The 18,489-nt window shown below is 45.4% G+C and overlaps 1 protein-coding gene across 1 annotated transcript in view, besides 4 other annotated features; it reads left to right on the forward strand.

Annotated features, from left to right (window-relative positions):
- The window catches only part of ANKRD33B (ankyrin repeat domain 33B), a 93,747-nt gene that overhangs the window by 35,650 nt on the left and 39,608 nt on the right, over nucleotides 1–18,489 (forward strand). The gene's annotated exons all lie outside the window — the stretch shown is intronic.
- Nucleotides 1,174–1,253: an enhancer, noted in NCBI's record as "active region_22366". NCBI's record gives its function as "activates an Ori minimal core promoter by ATAC-STARR-seq in GM12878 lymphoblastoid cells {active_cell/tissue: GM12878}" and the evidence as "EXISTENCE:reporter gene assay evidence [ECO:0000049][PMID:35858748]".
- Nucleotides 1,474–1,603: an enhancer, noted in NCBI's record as "active region_22367". NCBI's record gives its function as "activates an Ori minimal core promoter by ATAC-STARR-seq in GM12878 lymphoblastoid cells {active_cell/tissue: GM12878}" and the evidence as "EXISTENCE:reporter gene assay evidence [ECO:0000049][PMID:35858748]".
- Nucleotides 7,527–7,576: a silencer, noted in NCBI's record as "silent region_15925". NCBI's record gives its function as "represses an Ori minimal core promoter by ATAC-STARR-seq in GM12878 lymphoblastoid cells {active_cell/tissue: GM12878}" and the evidence as "EXISTENCE:reporter gene assay evidence [ECO:0000049][PMID:35858748]".
- Nucleotides 8,247–8,496: an enhancer, noted in NCBI's record as "active region_22368". NCBI's record gives its function as "activates an Ori minimal core promoter by ATAC-STARR-seq in GM12878 lymphoblastoid cells {active_cell/tissue: GM12878}" and the evidence as "EXISTENCE:reporter gene assay evidence [ECO:0000049][PMID:35858748]".

Raw genomic sequence — 18,489 nt, forward strand, 5'->3', positions numbered from 1 at the left:
CTGTCCATTTATCTGTTGATGGACATTTGGGTATTCCATGTTTTCACTACTGTGAATAATGCTGTTAGGAACATGAGTGTACAAATCTTTGTTTCAACCTCTGCTTTAAACTCATTTGGGCATATACCTAGGAGTGGAATTACTGGATCATGTGGCAATTCTATGTTTAGCTTTCTGAGGAACAACCAAGCTATTTTCCACAGTGGCTGCACCACATTAGACTCTGACCAGCAATGCACAAGGGTTTGTTTCTTCACATCCTTACCAAACAAACACTTGTTATTTTTTTATATAGGTGTGTTTTAAATGGTAGCCATCCTGATAGGGGTGAAGTGATTTCTTATTGTGGTTTAGATGAGCATTTCTCATGACTCAGTGACTAATGATGTTGAGCATTTTTTCACAGGCTTATTCAGCATTTGTATGTCTGCATAGGCAAAGTTGCTTTTTCTGCTATCATTACTTCATTGAGAGATAATTTACATACAGTGAAATGCACAACTCTTAAGGGTGTAGTTCAGTGAATTTTCACAAATGAATATGCACATGTAAATGTCACTCAGATTAAGATATGATTCCATTACCCCAGGAAGTTCTCTTGTGCCATTTTCTAATAACCCCCTTCACAATTTTTTATTACCATATACAGTATTAATCTTGCCTGTCCTTGGATTTCATTAAATAGAATCCAGCAGCGTGCACTTTTTGGTGTCTGGCATATTTTGTTCAATGTAATATGCATGAGATCCACTGGCATTGCTGTGTGTATCAGGATTTTGTTCTTCTTTTGTTGCTCAGTAGTATTCCCAAGTTTGATTATAGCAGACTTTGCTTATCTAGTCTCTTGATGAATATTTGGGTTGTTTGCAATTTTGGGATATTATGGATAAAGCTGTCCTGAACATTCTTGTATACATCTTCATGTGGATATAGACTTTAATTTATTTTGAGAGAGTATCCGTGAATGGAGTTGCTGGCTCATAAGGTAGACATGTGTTAAACTTTAATAGAAACTGCCAGTTTCCCAGTGTGGTTCTTCCATTTTACACTCCCACCTGCTGGGAACATGAGAGTTCCACACCCTTGCCAACATTTGGTATTGTCAGTCTTTTTAATTTTAACCATTCTGGTGGGTGTATGGCGGTATCTCATTGTGGGTTTAATTTGCATTTCCCTGTGACTAACGATATCGAGCCCTTTCACATTTGGAAAAGGTTATAATTTAAATTTTGTACATTAAAAAAAAATCAAGTTAGAAGACATTAATGAACACCTGCAGAACAGACATCCCAAAGCCCAGAATGTCATGTGGAAGCCACCGCCCTGACAGCTATGAGTCAGACAGACAGATGTCAGTTTCAGTTACACCTTAAATCACAAATGAGTTGCCAACTCAGTTTAAAAAGAATAGGGTTGGGGGGCATATATTTAAAGAATATTTTGAAAATAGAAGAAAATGTGGCAAGGCTGTCTCCTCCCACACCAGCTCCCACCTGAGAGCCAGATAGTTAGCAGGAAAATCTGATCACGCTGCTTTCTAAGACCCTGCGTGGTTCTCCACCAACTTTGGATGCACTTCAGCCTCCTCAGCCCTCGTGGAAGCCCGTCATGACCCAGAATTCCCCACTCGTCAGCTCCACGCCTTTGCACATGCTTGCCTCCCGCCTGGGACACGGTCCCTCCACCATCCCTGGCGCTGCGGACCTCCCACCATTGCTTGGCTAACGAGGCTCAACCTGGCTGGGTGCCAACTCCTCCCAGCCTGGGCAAGTTGCCAGTCATCTGTGCTCCCACCATCCTCTGGGCCGAGCCTGGCATTCTCATTGTTTACTTCTCTGCCTCCTTCCCCAGACTGAATGTCCTGAGGGGAGGGAGTCGCATTTCAGCAATCTTTGTATTTTGAACACACAGCCAGGGACCAGTAAGCCTGCTGATGGTGAATAAATGCTCATGGGTGATGACGACAGCCAGCTGAAAGCGGTGCAGCCCTCCTCCCTGCGGGGCATGCTCTCCGTGGATGTGCTGGTTTAGTCACACACATTTTAAGTGTGACGACACCTATATATTCCTAAATCTGTAAGACAAAGTACAAGCCACAATATCTCGAGATCTGCCCTTCTCCTTTGACCACTCCACCCCAGCCTATGACAGGGGGCTGCCATTTCCCCCCATGGGGCCAGGGATGACTCTTGGTAGAGCACCCAGGAGCTGGTGCACATGAGAACAAGACCAGTTAGGGGGCATGTGAGGGAGTGCTGTAGGCATCCAGGCCAGGACTAGGTAAGAATTTATTTGGATTTATATATAGCAGAGACTGGGCAAGACAAGAAGGTGGGTGCGTTGCCCCACTGAAAGAAAGCCAATCAAGTAAAAATGAACAAGAACACAAGCTGAGCTCTGTGTCCTGTGTCCCCGAAGGGGTGACTGAGCAACCTCGGTGCCTGGGTGTAGAGATAACACCACCACTGTCCATCCCGGGGCCTCACCCAGGGCGTCAGCGGAGCATGCTCACACTTTAGGTCCTGTAGACAAAAGTAATTGCAGGCTCCCAGCCAGGAGCCTGGGCTGAGGCCTGAGGATCTGCATTTCTAACACGCTCCCAGGGGACGCTGATGCCGCTGGTCCTGGGACTGCACTATGAGTGGCCAAAGTCAAACCTGCGCCTGGCAGAAAACAGTAAATAGGTCGTTTGGCTCAATCATTAGCCAGGTTGTTAATTCTGCATCCATTGGTTTGGGTTGTACTAAATTAGGCCACACTTTTTGTGAGGTGGACCAGTATTTGTGCATGACAGGCCCAATATTTGTGAAAACATTGCCTTGAAAATAGTTGGAGAATTTTATTTCTCATGAATAGAACATGCTGTCGTCTGAGAGCCTGCCTCAGAGCAGCTGGCTGGGAGCCTCCGGAGTGGGAACCGCTTTGGCAGAGTAGGTAAAACATTCAAAAAGGGTTTCAAGTCTTTGAGTCTGAAACGAGTGGACAATGTAGATTCCTTTCATGAAATTGTATGCAGCATTTTGCAAGGAACTTATAAAGCTGATCATAGTCTATAGATCCTGAAGGTCCAATTTGCTTTCCATTGATTGCTTGTCATTTTTTTTTTTTTTTGAGACAGTGTTTCAGTCTGTCACCCAGGTTGGAGTGCAGTGGCATGATCACAGCTCACTGCAGACTTGACCTCCCAAACTCAAGCAATCCTCCTGCCTCAGCCTCTAGAGTAGCTAGGACTACAGGTGTGCACCACCACACCCAGCTACTTTTTGTATATTTTTGTAGAGACGCGGTTTTGCCATGTTGCCCAGGCTGGTCTCGAGCTTCTGAGCTCAAGCCATCCTCCCGTCTCAGCCTCCCAAGGATCTGGGTTTATAGGTGTGAGCCACCGTGCCCGGCCTGATGGTCTATTTATATTCTCCCAACTCTTTCTAGAAAAGGATGGGAGGCAGCTTTCTGTCTTCTGTACAGTTTTCTCACAGCCCGTGAATCCACTTGTGTAGTTAAGCAGGAGACTGGGAAGCTTCATCAGAATTTTTTCATCCTTAAAAAAAATTTTTTTTTTTTGAGACAGGGTCTCATTCCCTCGCCCAGGCTGGAGTGCAGTGGAGTGATCTCAGTTCACTGCAACCTACGCCTCCCAGGTTCAAGTGATTCTCCTGCCTCAGCCTCCTGAGTAGCTCAGATTATAGGTGTGCACCACCATGCCAGGTTAATTGTTGTATTTTTAGTAGAGACGGGGTTTTGCCATGTTGCCCAGGCTGGTCTTGAACTCCTGACCTCAGATGATCCACCTGCGTTGGCCTCCCAAAGTACTGGGATTACAGGGGTGAGCCACTGTGCCCAGCCCCATCCTTAAACATTTTGTATTTTCTGATTATTAAATAAAAATAGATGTTCATTGTAGGGAAAAATGAGACTTTTTACAACTTTTTATAACCTATTCAGAATCAATTACTACTGAAGGCTTAGTGCATTTCTCTCTTGTTTTTTGTCATGCAGTGTTAATAGATGATTTTATATAATTGTTTTAAATGTATATTTATCTTATGGTAATTTAAGCCTTTCCTCATGATTAAAATTCTTTATATACCTCAATTTTACTAATATTTGATAAATGTAAGATTATACCATAGAAAAATGTTTTTTTTTAAACTTTTTAAAATAATTTCAAAAGGAGAACTTTTTTTTTTTTTTTGAGATGGAGTTTCACTCTTTTTGCCCAGGCTGGAGTGCAATGGTGCAATCTCGGCTCACTATAACCTCTGCCTCCTGGGTTCAAGCGATTCTCCTGCCTCAGCCTCCCCAGTAGCTGCAATTACAGGTGCCTGCCACCACACCCAGCTAATTTTGTATTTTTAGTAGGGACGGAGTTTCACCATGTTGGCCAGGCTGGTCTCAAACTCCTGACCTTGTGATCCACCCGCCTTGGCCTCCCAGAGTGCTGGGATTACAGGTGTGAGCCACCGCGCCTGGCTTTTTTTTTTTTTTTTTTTCAGACAGAGTCTTTCTCTGTCACCCGGGCTGGAGTACAGTGGCGTGATCTCGGCTCACTGCAACCTCCGCTTCCTGGGTTCAAGTGATTCTCCCACCTCAGCCTCCCGAGTAGCTGGGACCACAGATATGCGCCACCGCACCCGGCTAATTTTTATATTTTTTGGTAGAGATGGGGTTTCGCCATGTCGACCAGGCTGGTCTCGATCCCCTGACCTCAAGCAATCCTCCCACCTCAGCCTCCTAAAGTGCTGGGATTACAGGTGTGAGCCACTGTGCCTGACCAAAAGGAGAACCTTTTTGAAAAAAAAAAAAAAGAAAAAAAAAAGAAAAATATAGCACTCTCCTGGTGTCTTCTGGGAGTATAGTGAAGTCCAGAGAGGAGATTTTCTTAGCTGAGTTGCAGAATTAATTATATCTAATCTCGCTGCACCTAACATCTAGTAGATCTCAATGGCTAATAATAAAATACTAATATGTTTTATTTAATTATATATTGTCTTATATAAACATATATTCAACTTTAATGAATGATCCAGTTCTCAAGACAGAAACATAGAATTATATGTTAATATGACAGGCTTTGGAAAATTGTAACTGGATTTTGTCATTATTCTATCCTTATGACTTGTTGATGTTTGTATTATCTAATGCTACATGCATCACCCCAAAACACAGTGGCTTTAAATAATAATTATCATTTATTTTCTCTCACAGTGTCTATGGCTCGGGAATGTGGGAACCTGGTTGGGCAGTTCTGACTGAGGGTTTCTCGTGAGTTGCAGTGGGATGCTGGCTGTGGCTGTAGTTGTCTGAAGGCTTGACTGAGGCCACAGGGTCCTCTTCCAAAGTGGCTCTCTCTCGTGGCTGGCACATTGGTGCTGGCAGTTAGCTGGGGGCCTCAGTTCCTCTCCCTGTGGGTCTCTCCATAGAGCTGCTTGAGTGTCCACAGGGCGTGGCGGCCGGCTTCCTCAGGAGCCTGCAATCCAGGAGACCAGGGTGAAAGCTGCAAGATCTTTTAGGATCTGGCCTTGGAAGGCACACACCATTACTCCTGCCATATGGGGCCAGCCCTGATGCAGCATGGGAGGTGATCACCAAGGATGTGAATACCAGGAGGAAACGAAGATCATTGGGGCCATCCAGGAGGCTGGCTACCACAGTTGTGGTTGTGAATATTAGAAGTACAGGGTATGGAATGAATAAGAAAAGTATACTCATGACAGACATACATGGTACTAGGACAGGGTCTGTGTTTTTGCTGTTGTAATTCATCCCCTGCATGACCTCTTTCTCATTGAGTTTCTTTCTTTCCTTTTCTTCTTCCTTTTTTTTTTTGAGGTGGAGTTTTGTTGTTGTTGCCCAGGCTGGAGTGCAGTGGCAAGATTTCAGCTCACAGCAACCTCCGCCTCCCGGGTTCAAGTGATTCTCTTGCCTCAGCCTCCCAAGTAGCTGGGATTACAGGCACTCGCCACCATGCCCAGCTAATTTTTGTATGATTAGTAGAGACAGGGTTTCACCATGTTGGCCAGGCTGGTCTCGAACATCTGACCTCAGGTGATCCGCCTGCCTCAACCTCCCAAACTGCTGGGATTACAGGCATGAGCCACCATGCCTGGCTGAGTGAGTTTCTGTGTTCCGCTCTTCTAGCCTTGCTAGTTCCTTTAAGTTCTCTGTCGAGCTTTGTACATCTGTTGTAAAAATTCCAAGCTTAATTTCAGAAAGATTAAGTGAATCAATGGTTGGAAGAACATGTAATTGTTACTGACAGTCACTGCCTTCAGGTCAACGGTTAACAGGCTTAGTTTTCTTTCATCACATAATGCTTGTATGATCACTGCGTGGAAACCACTCCCAGTGTTGGGAAAATTAGATGAGCCTCTGAGATAGGAATAGATTAGGTATATACATGAAGTTGGCAGAGGGAATACAGTTGAACAAAGTAGTGGTTTCATACATTACTAATCTAAAATCATAAATCCCAGCGAGAGGTTTGCAGTGATAATAAGATTTACGTTTTATGCAAAATTTAGTCTAAAGGGAAATTGTTTTGAATTACTGACAACCTTGAATTTATCAAATCCTGATTACAGGGCTACAAGGTGACCCCATGTTGGAAGGAATTATCTTGATGTATTTTACATATTTATTTATTTTATTAATAAAATGTCATTTCTTTATTTAAAACAGTTTATTAGGCATCTCTTTATTTGAAGCAGAAAAGCATAGATAAAAATACAAATATTGGCCTGGCACAGTAGCTCACGCCTGTAATCCCAGCACTTTGGGAGGCCAAGGTGGGCGGATCACAAGGTCAAGAGATCGAGACCATCCTGGCCAACATGGTGAAGCCCTGTCTCTACTAAAAATACAAAAATTAGCTGGGCGTGTTGGCGAGTGCCTGTAGTCCCAGCTACTCGGGAGGCTGAGGCAGGAGAATCACTTGAACCCACGAGGTGGAGGTTGCAGTGACCTGAGATCGTGCCACTGCACTCCAGCCTGGCGACAGAGCAAGACTCTGTCTTTTTTTTTTTTTTTTGAGGTGGAGTCTTGCTCTGTCGCCCAGGTTAGAGGGCAGTGGCGCAATCTCAGCTCGCTGCAAGCTCCGCCTCCCAGGTTCATGCCATTCTCCTGCCTCAGCCTCCTGAGTAGTTGCGATTACAGGTGTGCGTTACTACACCTGGCTCATTTTTTTGTATTTTTAATAGAGACAGGATTTCACCATGTTGGCCAGGCTGGTCTTGAACTCCTGACCTCAAGTGATCCACCCACCTCAGCCTCCCAAAGTGTTGGGGTTACAGGCATGAGCCACCACGCCCAGCCCATTTTATAAGTACATTTTGTGCCCAATCAAGTATCAAAGACATAATCTTAAAATAAAGGACAGTTCTTCCCAAGGGAAAAAGAAAGTAGGCAACCTGACACATGAATAGATGATGTATGCTACTGTTACACGCACACACACACACTCAGAATAGACTGTGATGCTGTGATAACAAACCACTTCAAGTCCCAGTGGCTTAAAATAACAAAGGTTTGCCTCTCGCTCATTCATGCTGTTGTGCGCCGGCTAGAGGGGGCAGGGCTCTGCTCTCTCTGCCCTCACTCCGGAGGCCCAGTCTGGGAGCAGTTGCATCTCTGAGCTTCAAGGGCAGTCAAGTCAAGAAAAGGGAAGGTGGCACATCGTCCACCGTCTCTCGAAACTTCCTCCTGGAAGTGACACCTGCTATTTCACTTACGTTTAATTACCCAAAGCAAACCAGATGGTCAAGTCAGAACTCAGAAAGGGTGGGGAAATGCAATTTTACCAAGAGGCAGGAAGAAATAGATAACGGAATAACGCCAGTGAGTACTGCAGCTGAATCCAGTGCAACTGAATTGTCCTGGTTCAAACAATTAAAAAAGACTTTGTGTGTGTACTTTCACCAGCTTCTTCACAGACCGTCGCCCATACTTGAGTGAATCTTCCTCCTGTGCATGCTACTGTATATGATAAGTGGAAGAGAATAGAGAGTGTTGTCAGGGACATTTTTGAGGAATACTGAAGTCTACTTGGGACAGTGAAACACACTGGACGATGAGCTTCCAGCTGCTTGTTTTCCTGCTGGACTGTCTGTGAGTTCATCTTCTTATTTAAAGCTCCTTGTTACTGAGTGCCTCCTAGCAGCAGTTTCCTTTAGCCCTCTCTAGGAGGAGCACAAATGCCTATTCCTGGCAGCCTGAGCATGTCGTCTTAGGCGTCCTCTCGTGACCTGTGGTCTGGTGTTTTGCACAATCTTCATCACCACTCCTTCTAGAAGGACTGAGAACTGAATTTGACTTTTAAAACGAAGCTTGGTAATCAAGAATAGCAACAGCAGGCTGAGTACGGGGGCTCACGCCTATATTCCTAGGACTTTGGGAGGCTGAGGCGGGTGGATCACTTGAGGTCAGGAGCTCGAGACCAGCCTGATCAACATGGTGAAACCCTGTCTCCACTAAAAAAATACAAAAAAAAAAAAAAAAATGGGCGTGGTGGTGCATGACTGTAGTCTCAGCTACTCAGGAGGCTGGGGCAGGAGAATCGCCTGAACCCATGAGGCGGACATTGCAGTGAGCCAAGATTGTGCCACTGCACTCCAGCCTAGGCAACAGAGCGAGACTCCATCTAAAAAAAAAAAAAAAAAAGAGCCGTGGTAGTTCTGAAGGGGAAGAGCAAGGAAGGTTTCTTCCCTGCAAAACACAAGGCTGCAGTAGCGAATCAGGATTGCCTTGGGGCTGAGGTAGATTGTTAGACCAATGGGAGCAACTCTCAGGTTCATTCCTGTGTTTATGGGGAGGTGGGATGAGCTTGAGCATGCTGTTACTACCAATGGGAAAAGAATGGATGTGTTCATATATTGTGCTAGGAAAACAGAAAAAGGTAAAATTAAACTTCTATAATAAAAACCATGGTGGATTCAAGACCTCACTATGAAAAAAAAAAAAACTTGAAACTGTTGAAATTAAATACAGAGGAATATCTTTAGGGTTTTTGAATGGGAGGCATTGCTTAAACGCATGACAAAAAGCATTCCTATAAAGGAAAAGATTAATAATATGACTGCATCGAAACGTAAAACGGGATGGTAAATGAAAAACAAGTGGTGTCGAGAAAACAATCGCAACACCCTTGACAGAGCTTCAGGTCCAGGGGCAGCATTTACAGAGGCACCTACTCTCTGTGGTGCCTGAGAGGGAGCGCCTCTTTAAATTTGGTGCCCCAGGGCCTCCTTTGCCACATCTTAGTGCCAGCCTTGGGCGCCAGTGCCATCCTGATGCCAGCTTTAGTGTCTAGGGCTGTATTGCCCAGTAGTGTAGCTGGTACCTCCAAGTGGCTGTGGAACACAGTGCAACTGAGGTGTGCCGTAAGTGTAAAATATGTACTAGATTCATCCAAAAAAGGTAAAATAGCTCATTAAAATTTTTCTATTGATTACATTTTGAAATGGTAATATTTTGGATATGTTGAGTTAAATACAATATATTTATTAGGATTTCATTTGGCTTTTATTAATTTGGCCACTAGAAAATTAAAAATTATCAGCCAGGTGCAGTAGCTCATGCCTGTAATCTCAGCACTTTGGGAGGCAGAGGTGCGCAGATCACTTGAGCCCAGGAGTTCGAGACCAGCCTCGGTAACATGGCAAAACACCATCTCTACAAAAATACAAAAATTAGCTGGATGTGGTGGTGCTCACCCATAGTCCCAGCTACTAGGGAGGCTGAGGGGGGAGGATTGTTTGAGCCTGGGAGGCGAAGGCTGCAGTGAGCCGTGATGCACTCCAGCAGGTAACAGACCAAGACCTGTCTCCAAAAAAAATTTTCCATTACATTTGTGGCTCCCCTTATGTCTTTATTGGACAGCACTGTCCTCAAGTATTATAAAGAATTCAAACTGGGCTAGGTGCTGTGGCTCACCCCTGTAATCCCAGCACTTTGGGAGGCTGAGGTGGGCAGATCATTTGAGGTCAGGGGTTCGAGACCAGACTGGCCGACGTGGTGAAACCCCATTTCTACTAAAAATACAAAAATTAGCCAGGCATGGTGGCAGGCACCTGTAATCTCAGCTACTTGGGCAGCTGAGGTGGGAGAATCGCTTGAACCCAGGAGATGGAGGCTGCCGTGAGCTGAGATTGTGCCATTGCACTATAGCCTGGGTGACAGAGTGAGACTCCATCTAAAAAAAACAAAACACACAAAAAAAGAATTCATACTGATCAATGAGGAAAAGACAAAGAAGCCAATGGGAAATGGACAAAAGACATAATTAAATCCTTCACCAAAGAGGAAATCCAGACAGCCAATAGATGCATGGAAAGGTGGCCAGTCTTACTGGCAATCAGGAATGCGAAGTGAAAACACAATAACAATGTTTAAGCATCCGATTGGTGAAAATGCAAAGGTATTGGGAATTGGTGAGAATGAAGAAAAACTGTAACTTTCACCCATGAGTGGTGGAGTTGAAGTTGTTGCAGCCGCTTTGGAGAGGACTTTGGCTCATGTTCTACCCCCAGCTTGTCCACTTAGAGCACTGGTTCTCTCCTGGGGCAATTTTGCCTCCCAGGGTGCATTTGGCAATGTCTAGAGGCATTTTGGGTTGTCATAAATGAGGGTAGGAGATGCTCCTGACGTCTAATGGGTAGAGACCAGGGATTGCATAGTACAGGGGACAGCCCCCCCCCCGAATAAAGAATTATCTGGCCCCACATGTCAATAGTGCCCTGGTCGAAAAACTGACACAGGCGAGGATCGCAATTAATTTCCAGCTCAGGTGCATCAGGAGATACAGATCAAGGTTTTAATTTCAGTGCTCTCTGTATTTGTAGTCACAGAACTTTGGACACAGTGTCTATCAGTTTAGGGGCATGGATGAACATGCAGAGACACTATAGCAGTCACGATGCATTTGCCAGTGATTTGGCTGAATCACGTCCAGCACTGCGTGAATAAACCAAGTTTCAGGCTCAGATGTACATGGAGAGCATTTTGTGCAAATAGTTGCAATAGGAAATAATGCTCCCTATTAAATATATCGCTTGGGCACAGTGGCTCACGTCTGTAATCCCGGCACTTTGGGAGGCCGAGGTGGGTGGATCACCTGAGGTCAGGAGTTTGAGACCAGCTTGGCCAACGTGGCGAAACCCGTCTCTACTAAAAATAAAAAAATTAGCTGGGTGTGGTGGCGGGAGACTGTAATCCCAGCTACCTGGGAGGCCGAGGCAGGAGAATTGCTTGAACCTGGGGGGCGGAGGTTGCGGTAAGCTGAGATTGCGCCACTGCACTTCAGCCTGGGCAGCAGAGCGAAACTCCTTCTCAAAATAAATAAATAAATAAATAAAAATATATTGTTTATGGATACATGCATATGTAATAAAAATTCAAAAGCAAAATCAGAGCATACACAGCTGCACCAAATAGTGATCACCTCTGGGAGGGATGGAGAAGAAAGCACAAAAAGGCATTTCAACTTTTTCTGTAATGTTGATTCCTTTAAAAAGTTTGAAGCCGTTATGACAAAATATTGACCTTTGTTAATGTTACCAATGAAGACATGGGTGTTTATCTTACTTATCTTACTTTCTATTTTACTTTTCTCTATATTTGGACTTTTTCTCATAATAAACTCTGATACACACATACCAAAGGGCACTTGGAACAGGGGCTGCCTGAGTCTAGGCAGCTCAGTGGGGGTTGTCCCTGTGTCTGTGTGGTTCGCCTGCTTTTCCCCAACACTGATCTGTGGTTAAGAGTTTGGTGCATGGAACGTTCCATGGGATTCTTTATTATGAGCTGGCTTTGGAGAAGCAGTGGGCTGAAATGGTGGTGTCTGACCTGCGGTGCTGGGGCCACACCCTGTAGGGATTGACCCTTGGGTCCTGCCTCCCGGCCAGGAAGTCCTCTCCCCTTGCCACTTGCCACCCCTCTGCACTAGACCTGGGCCTGACCTTTACCCTCCAAACTTCTAACAACACATCCCAGAAAGGATCTGGTTCAAGATACTAACAATCACACTTGGGGAGTGTATTTCAAGGAAAATAGATGGCATATCGTAGAAATTGCAGACAAACCTGAACTCCTGGGGAGTCCCTTCAGAAAGGAAGTTTGCTGCCTGGTTGAGACTTGATTGGGAAGGGTTTGCCTTGTATGACACCCAGTGCCTAGTGTAGTGTGGAATTTAAGGCCAGCAGGTGGTGATTGATATGCACACTTGGTCTTCTCTACAGGCCACATGTGTTGAAGATTCCCTGCCTTACTGGGGCCTCCCTCTCATGCTCTTTCATTCTGTTTAGGCCCAGGGAAAGGATTCCTGCCTGTGGCGCCGGGCTTGAGGCTGCAGTACTCACCATTTTTCTATGATATGTTGAAGCAATCAACTGGTGTTGAGGGATCTTAGAATTTTTAAGACTTGTATGAAGTATCCTTCCCTTTGGAATCTTGTTTGGAGAATAGCTTAATTAGATGATGTCTTAGTCCGTTTAGGCTGCTATAGCAAAATACAGTAAACTGGGTGGCTTATAAACAATGGAGATTTATTTCTCACTGTTTGGAGGCTGGGAAGTCCAAGATCATGGGCCTGCTTTCTGTTTCATAGACAGCACCTTCTTACTGTGTCCCCACAGGGTGGAGAAGGCAAGGCAGCTCTCTGGGTCCTCTTGTATAAGGGCACCAATCCTATTTATGAGGGCTCTGCCCTTATGACCTGGTTACCTCCTAGTGGCCACATCTCCTAATACCATCACCGTGAGGGTTAGGATTTCAACATATGAATTTTGAAGGGACACAAACGTTCCGTCCATGGCAGATGGTAAGGCTCTGTCACCAGAAGAACATTTGAGTCAGTCTTCATTCACGCTGCCCGAGTATTCTTGCATTACCTGTGTGAACTGAACCAGGAAGTTGTCCCCTCACAGGGAATCCATCTCTCTTGCGCCGTTGCAGCTGCTGCGACCAAATGCTGTCATCGATGTTTATCCTGGATGCCCACCCCGTCCCCAGCGCAAGATTCTTTTCTTAGACCCCTGATGATTTTAATTTGCATTGTCTTAAAACATCCTGAGATGATTGAAACTTGCCTAAAATAGTTTACCCAGCAAATCACACATGTGTTAGCAGGGGCTCATGGCAGCCTTTTAGAAATATAGTAGCTCTTTAGAGGCCAGAATTCTTGCATTCATTCATAAAGCCACATAGACATCTCCCCCGACCTATTGCTGGTGTTATTATGGGGTTTTATAGAAATGGAGTTTTAAGTATCTGAAATGTACTCTCTTCGTTCTTGGAATTTTTTCTCACACTCGAGCATGGTAACATCCTTTTTCTTCTGGGGCATCAGGATGATGGCTCCCCTACTGTGGTACCATAGGCCCCACGTGGCTCTGGGGCTCCCTGGGCCTCTGGTGCTTCAGTCTCTCCCCTGGCTGTCGTGGGCTCCCGCTTCTTCTTCTGCAGACTGTGCTGGGCCTCACGCAGCATCCGGCCCTCCTTTTTCCTTCAGACAGCTCTTGTTTGCATTTGTTTATAGTGGTTATTGTAAAACTATTTCTTAATGAGGATTTTTTTTTTTTTTTTTTTTTGAGATAGAGTCTTGCTCTGTTGCCCAGGCTGGAGTGCAGTGGCACGATCTCAGCTCACTGCAAGCTCTGCCTCCCGGGTTCATGCCATTCTCCTACCTCAGCCTCCTGAGTAGCTAGGACTACAGGCTCCTGCCACCACGCCCAGCTAATTTTTTTTTGTATTTTTTTTAGTAGAGATGGGGTTTCACCGTGTTAGCCAGGAGAGGATGTTATTAATGTAAACATTGTGTTTGCTTACTTTTTTCAATGTTAATTAAAATGATATAATTTCCTCATGAATACAGCTTTGTTTTACATAAGAATTCTAACTGCACAGAATCATATGGGGTGGCTCACGCCTGTAATCCCAGCACTTTGGGAGGCCAAGGAGGGCAGATCACAAGGTCACGAGATTGAAAACATCCTGGCCAATATGGTGAAACCTCCATCTCTACTAAAAATACAAAAATTGGCTGGGCATGGTGGCATGCGCCTGTAGTCCCAGCTACTTAGCAAGCTGAGGCAGGAGAATTGCTTGAACCCAGGAGGCGGAGGTTGCAGTGAGCCGAGATCGTGTCAGTGCCCTCCAGCCTGGTGACAGAGAGAGACTCCATCTCAAAAAAAAAAAAAAAAGTTGAAAGTAGTTCTTCCAAAATGTTCCTTCCCCACCCCACCAACCCTGGATTAGTCAGGGGTCTCCAGAGAAATCGTGTGTGTGTGTGTGTGTGTGTGTGTGTGTGTGTGTATAAACATATATGTAGAGAAGGAGAGAGATTTGAGGAACTGGCGTGTGCGATTGTAGGGGCTGGCAAGTTCAAAACTTTTCCATGAAAAGTTCAAGATCTGGGTAAGAGTTGCAGTTTGACTCTGAAGGCAGTGCTGCCGGTCAAGTTTCTTCTTTCCAGGGTGTGGGGAGGCCAGCCTTTTTTCTCTTAAAGTCTTCAGCTGATTGGATGAGGCCCACTCACATGACGGAGGGCATCTACTTTCCTCAAAGTCTGTTGATTTAAATATCAGTCTCATTTAAAGAATACCTTCACAGAAATAGCTAGAATAATGTTTGACCAAATACCTAGGTACTACTGTGGCCTAGCCAAGTTGATACATGAAATTAACCATCACACACCTCCCATTCATCTTCCTTCTGTTCTTAATATTTTGGTGTGGTTCTTCTAGATGCCATCTCACTGTCTTGCCCAGGCTGGTCTCAAACTCCTGGCCTCAAGTGGTCTTCCCACCTTGGCCTCCTAAAGTGCTGGAATTATAGACATGAGCCACTGCACCTGGCCTCATTTAATTTGTTAATATAATAAGTGATGTTCTGGCTGGGTGCCATGGCTCACACCTGTAATCCCAACACTTTGGGAGGCTGAGGTGGGTGGATCATTCGAGGTCAGGAGTTTGAGACCAGCCTGGCCAACATGGTAAAACCCTGTCCCTACTAAAAATACAAAAATTAGCCGGGCTTGGTGGCAGGCACCTGTAGTCCTAGCTACTCGGGAGTCTGAGGCAGGAGAATTGCTTGAACCCAGGAGGCAGAGGTTGCAGTGAGCCAAGATCACACCACTGCATTCCAGCCTGGGCAACAGAGCAAAACTCCATCTCAAAAAACAAAAAAAGTGATGTTCTTAGGTTTCTAAATGTTATATCAGCCTTCCCAAGGTGGCTGTCAGCAGGTGCCTGCTGCACATTTTGGGAAGTTTTACCTTAGGAAGCTGGAGGAGTGTGGTGGGGAGAAGGAGGTGCTATTAGTCCAGAGCAGAACCCTTCACTGGTTGAGGTGAGAAGGAGGGAAGAGTAGGGTGGTCCTGAAAGAGACCTAATTCAGGAGCCAGATACTTCCGGAACCCTGAGAGTGTCTCTCTTGTATCCACCTAGGGAAGGCATTCCTTTTAACCTGAGCCCTTTAAGTGCAGGTTGGATATCAGGGTTGGCAAAGGCAGATGCCATCTGGGACCTTCCTGAAGAGCAGGTTAGCATATTCCAAGCTGGAATATGCTAAAAGCTTTCAAAATACCTATTTTCTTTAATCCAGAAATCCTGCTTCTAACAATGTCTCCTGAGAAAACGAGAAACAAAATACACAAAGCCTTAGCTCTAGGGCTTTTCATTGCAGGTTTTACTCATGAGAAAGAAAGTGAGAAACAGATCATCTGAGTATCCAAGAATAGGGATTTGTTAAATAATGACAATTCTACCCCACATAGAATAGGATAGTCTGTATCTACCAGGAATTTTGACACAGAGTTACTTTTATTGATGTGAAGATATTGCTGATATAGTCCTAACTAAGACATATAGCAAATGGTCCTGTTTTAGTTTGAAGAAAAATGTGTGCATATGTGTGTGTCTGGTCTATAACTTTTTTTCTTCTCTTTAATTTTTGGATCTTTTTCTGCAATAAATATGAATTACTTGTGTAATTATATGCAAAGGAAGATGTTACATTATGTTCAATATGTTTTATTTATAAGTCAGGAAATTGTAGAATACTAGAGCAATATCTCCATCCAAAGAAGTTAAAAATGATTTTTGGGTGCTCCCTGGTGGGATGACAAGTTTTCCGGCACATTTATGCGAAAGCAGGTGGGTAGGTTAGCTGGGAGAATGGAGGTGGTGGTGGCAGCGAACTCTTAGTTCCCAAAGAGGCTGAAAACCTCAGTGGCTTTTAAGTAGAGCCTGCCTGCAGCCCACTCTTTTCTATTTAAAATTAGATTATTGTGAAACATTTCACCATATAGATGGAATGACCTATTTCAAAGGGTGCTTAAGCTAGATTATATTAAAGAGGCTTTACCATAGTCAACAGTTATTGAGTTGATTATGCTGTGGTATGGATGTCAGTGTTAGAAAATCAATGGTATTCTGTAGAACTTTAAACATGTGAATATTTGTGATTTAATATTCTTCTGTGGGGCAACTAGGAGCCTTATTGAGATAAGTGGGCAGGGCTACTCGAGTCCTCTTGTTGTTCCATGAAAAATTATATTCTTACTAAAAATTGGCCGGGTGTGTTGGCTCACGCCTGTAATCCTAGCACTTTGGGAGACTGAGGTGGGTAGATCACGAGGTCAGGAGTTCGAGACCACCCTGACCAACATGATGAAACTCTGTCTGTACTGAAAATACAAAATTAGCCGGGCGTGGTGGCACATGACTGTAATCCCAGTTACTTGAGAGACTGAAGCAGGAGAATCGCTTGAACCCAGGAGGTGGAGGTTGCAATGAGCTGAAATCGCACCATTGCACTCTAGCCTGGGCAACAAGAGTGAAACTCTGTCTCAAAAAAAAAAAAAAAAAATCTGGTGAAGATTGGGCTGGGCCACTGTGGAGTTGCTCTCAATATAAACTTTGTGCCTCTCATGCAGTGGTGGTGTGACTGGCAGTGCCAAGAGTGACACTTGATTGCCTGGTCATTAGCTCCTGCCCTGGGTTGAATTTTAGCATCTCACCGTATCTACGTCTGTGAGGCGGTGAGCCTCACACCTGAGTCTACGCTGTTTTCCTTTGTTACGAGGTCTCTTCGTCAACTTGGGTTGCTGCAACAAAGCACCATAGACTGGGTACTTATTCAGAATGGAAGTTTATTCCTCACAGTTCTAGAAGTCCAAGATCTTTTACAGAGTGGAAATTTATTTCTCACAGTTCTGGAGGCTGGAAGCCCAGGATCAGGGCGCTAGCATGGTGGGGTTCTGGCCCGGGCCCTCTTCCAGGATGCAGACTGTAGACTTCTCTCTGTGTCCTTACATGGAGGAAAAAGGCACAAGAGAGCTCTTGAGGTCCTTTTTATAGGACACTAATCCCATTCATGAGGACTCCACCCTCGTGATCTAATCACCCCACCAAAGCCCCACTTCCTGCGCCATTCCACTGGGAGCTAGGATTTTAACATTTGGTAATACTTAATTAATAGATCTACAAAATCAACTATCAGTGTATGTATCCAGCTTGGTTCTCTCTCCATGACTCCACGCTGCTATTCATCTCTACCTGACGTCACCACTGGGTTGTCCAGAGACAGTCTCCCACAGTACACTGAAGTCTGCGTGCCATCTGTCCCCACGCCCGCTCTGTCCCACATCCTGTCGCTCTCATTTGATGGCAACTGCATCCTCTCAGCTGCTAGGGCCGAAACTCTGGGGTCATCCTGGACTCTTTTTCTATTCAACCTCACCTCCATTCTAACAGCAAATCTTCCTTTCCAGAATCCAAATTCGCCTCCCCAGCTGCTGCCCCCACCCTGGTGTGACACCATCCTTGCCTGCCTGGCCCCACAGTGGTCTCCCATCAGCCCCCTTCCTCCACCCCATTCTTCTAGAGCCTGTTTCCCACCCAGCAGCCAGAGTGGATGCAGATGATTGGCAGCCGATGGCTCAGGACACTCCCCCTACTCAGGGGGTCCCCAGGCCCCTGTCCACGGTCTCTGAGACCTCCTGTTGCCTCCTGGACCCGGGTTACTCCTCCTCTTCTCACTCACTCTGCTCTAGCCCTGCCGGCCAATGGGCTGCTCCCTGGATGCACCAGGCACAGTCCTGAGTTGGGGCCCTTGCTTGAGCTGTTTCCTCTACTGGGGCATTTTCCCCTCTCTGTGTCCCTGTGGCCCACTGCCTTGCCTCTTTCACACACGGACCCCAACATCACCTCTGCCAAGCCCAGCCTGACCACTCTATTCCCTAGAGAGCTGCACCCGCCCTGCACACACCTTTTTTACCCCATCGCCGTCTGCCGTGCTCTGTCGTTTATTTCTCTACGAGCCCCATAGTTGGTGTGTTTCCCTCCCTGGAGAAAGCACACCCCAGGAGGGCTGAGACCTTAGCAGTTCACTGATGTTTTCACGTCTAGGCCCTCACTCGAGTCAGTGCTCAACACACATTTGAGAAGGATCGAGCGGCTGGCTCACTCTAAACCATCTCTGAGAATTGGGACT

The sequence above is a fragment of the Homo sapiens genome, chromosome 5 (genome assembly GCF_000001405.40).
Source record: "Homo sapiens chromosome 5, GRCh38.p14 Primary Assembly".
Taxonomy (NCBI): domain Eukaryota; kingdom Metazoa; phylum Chordata; class Mammalia; order Primates; family Hominidae; genus Homo; species Homo sapiens.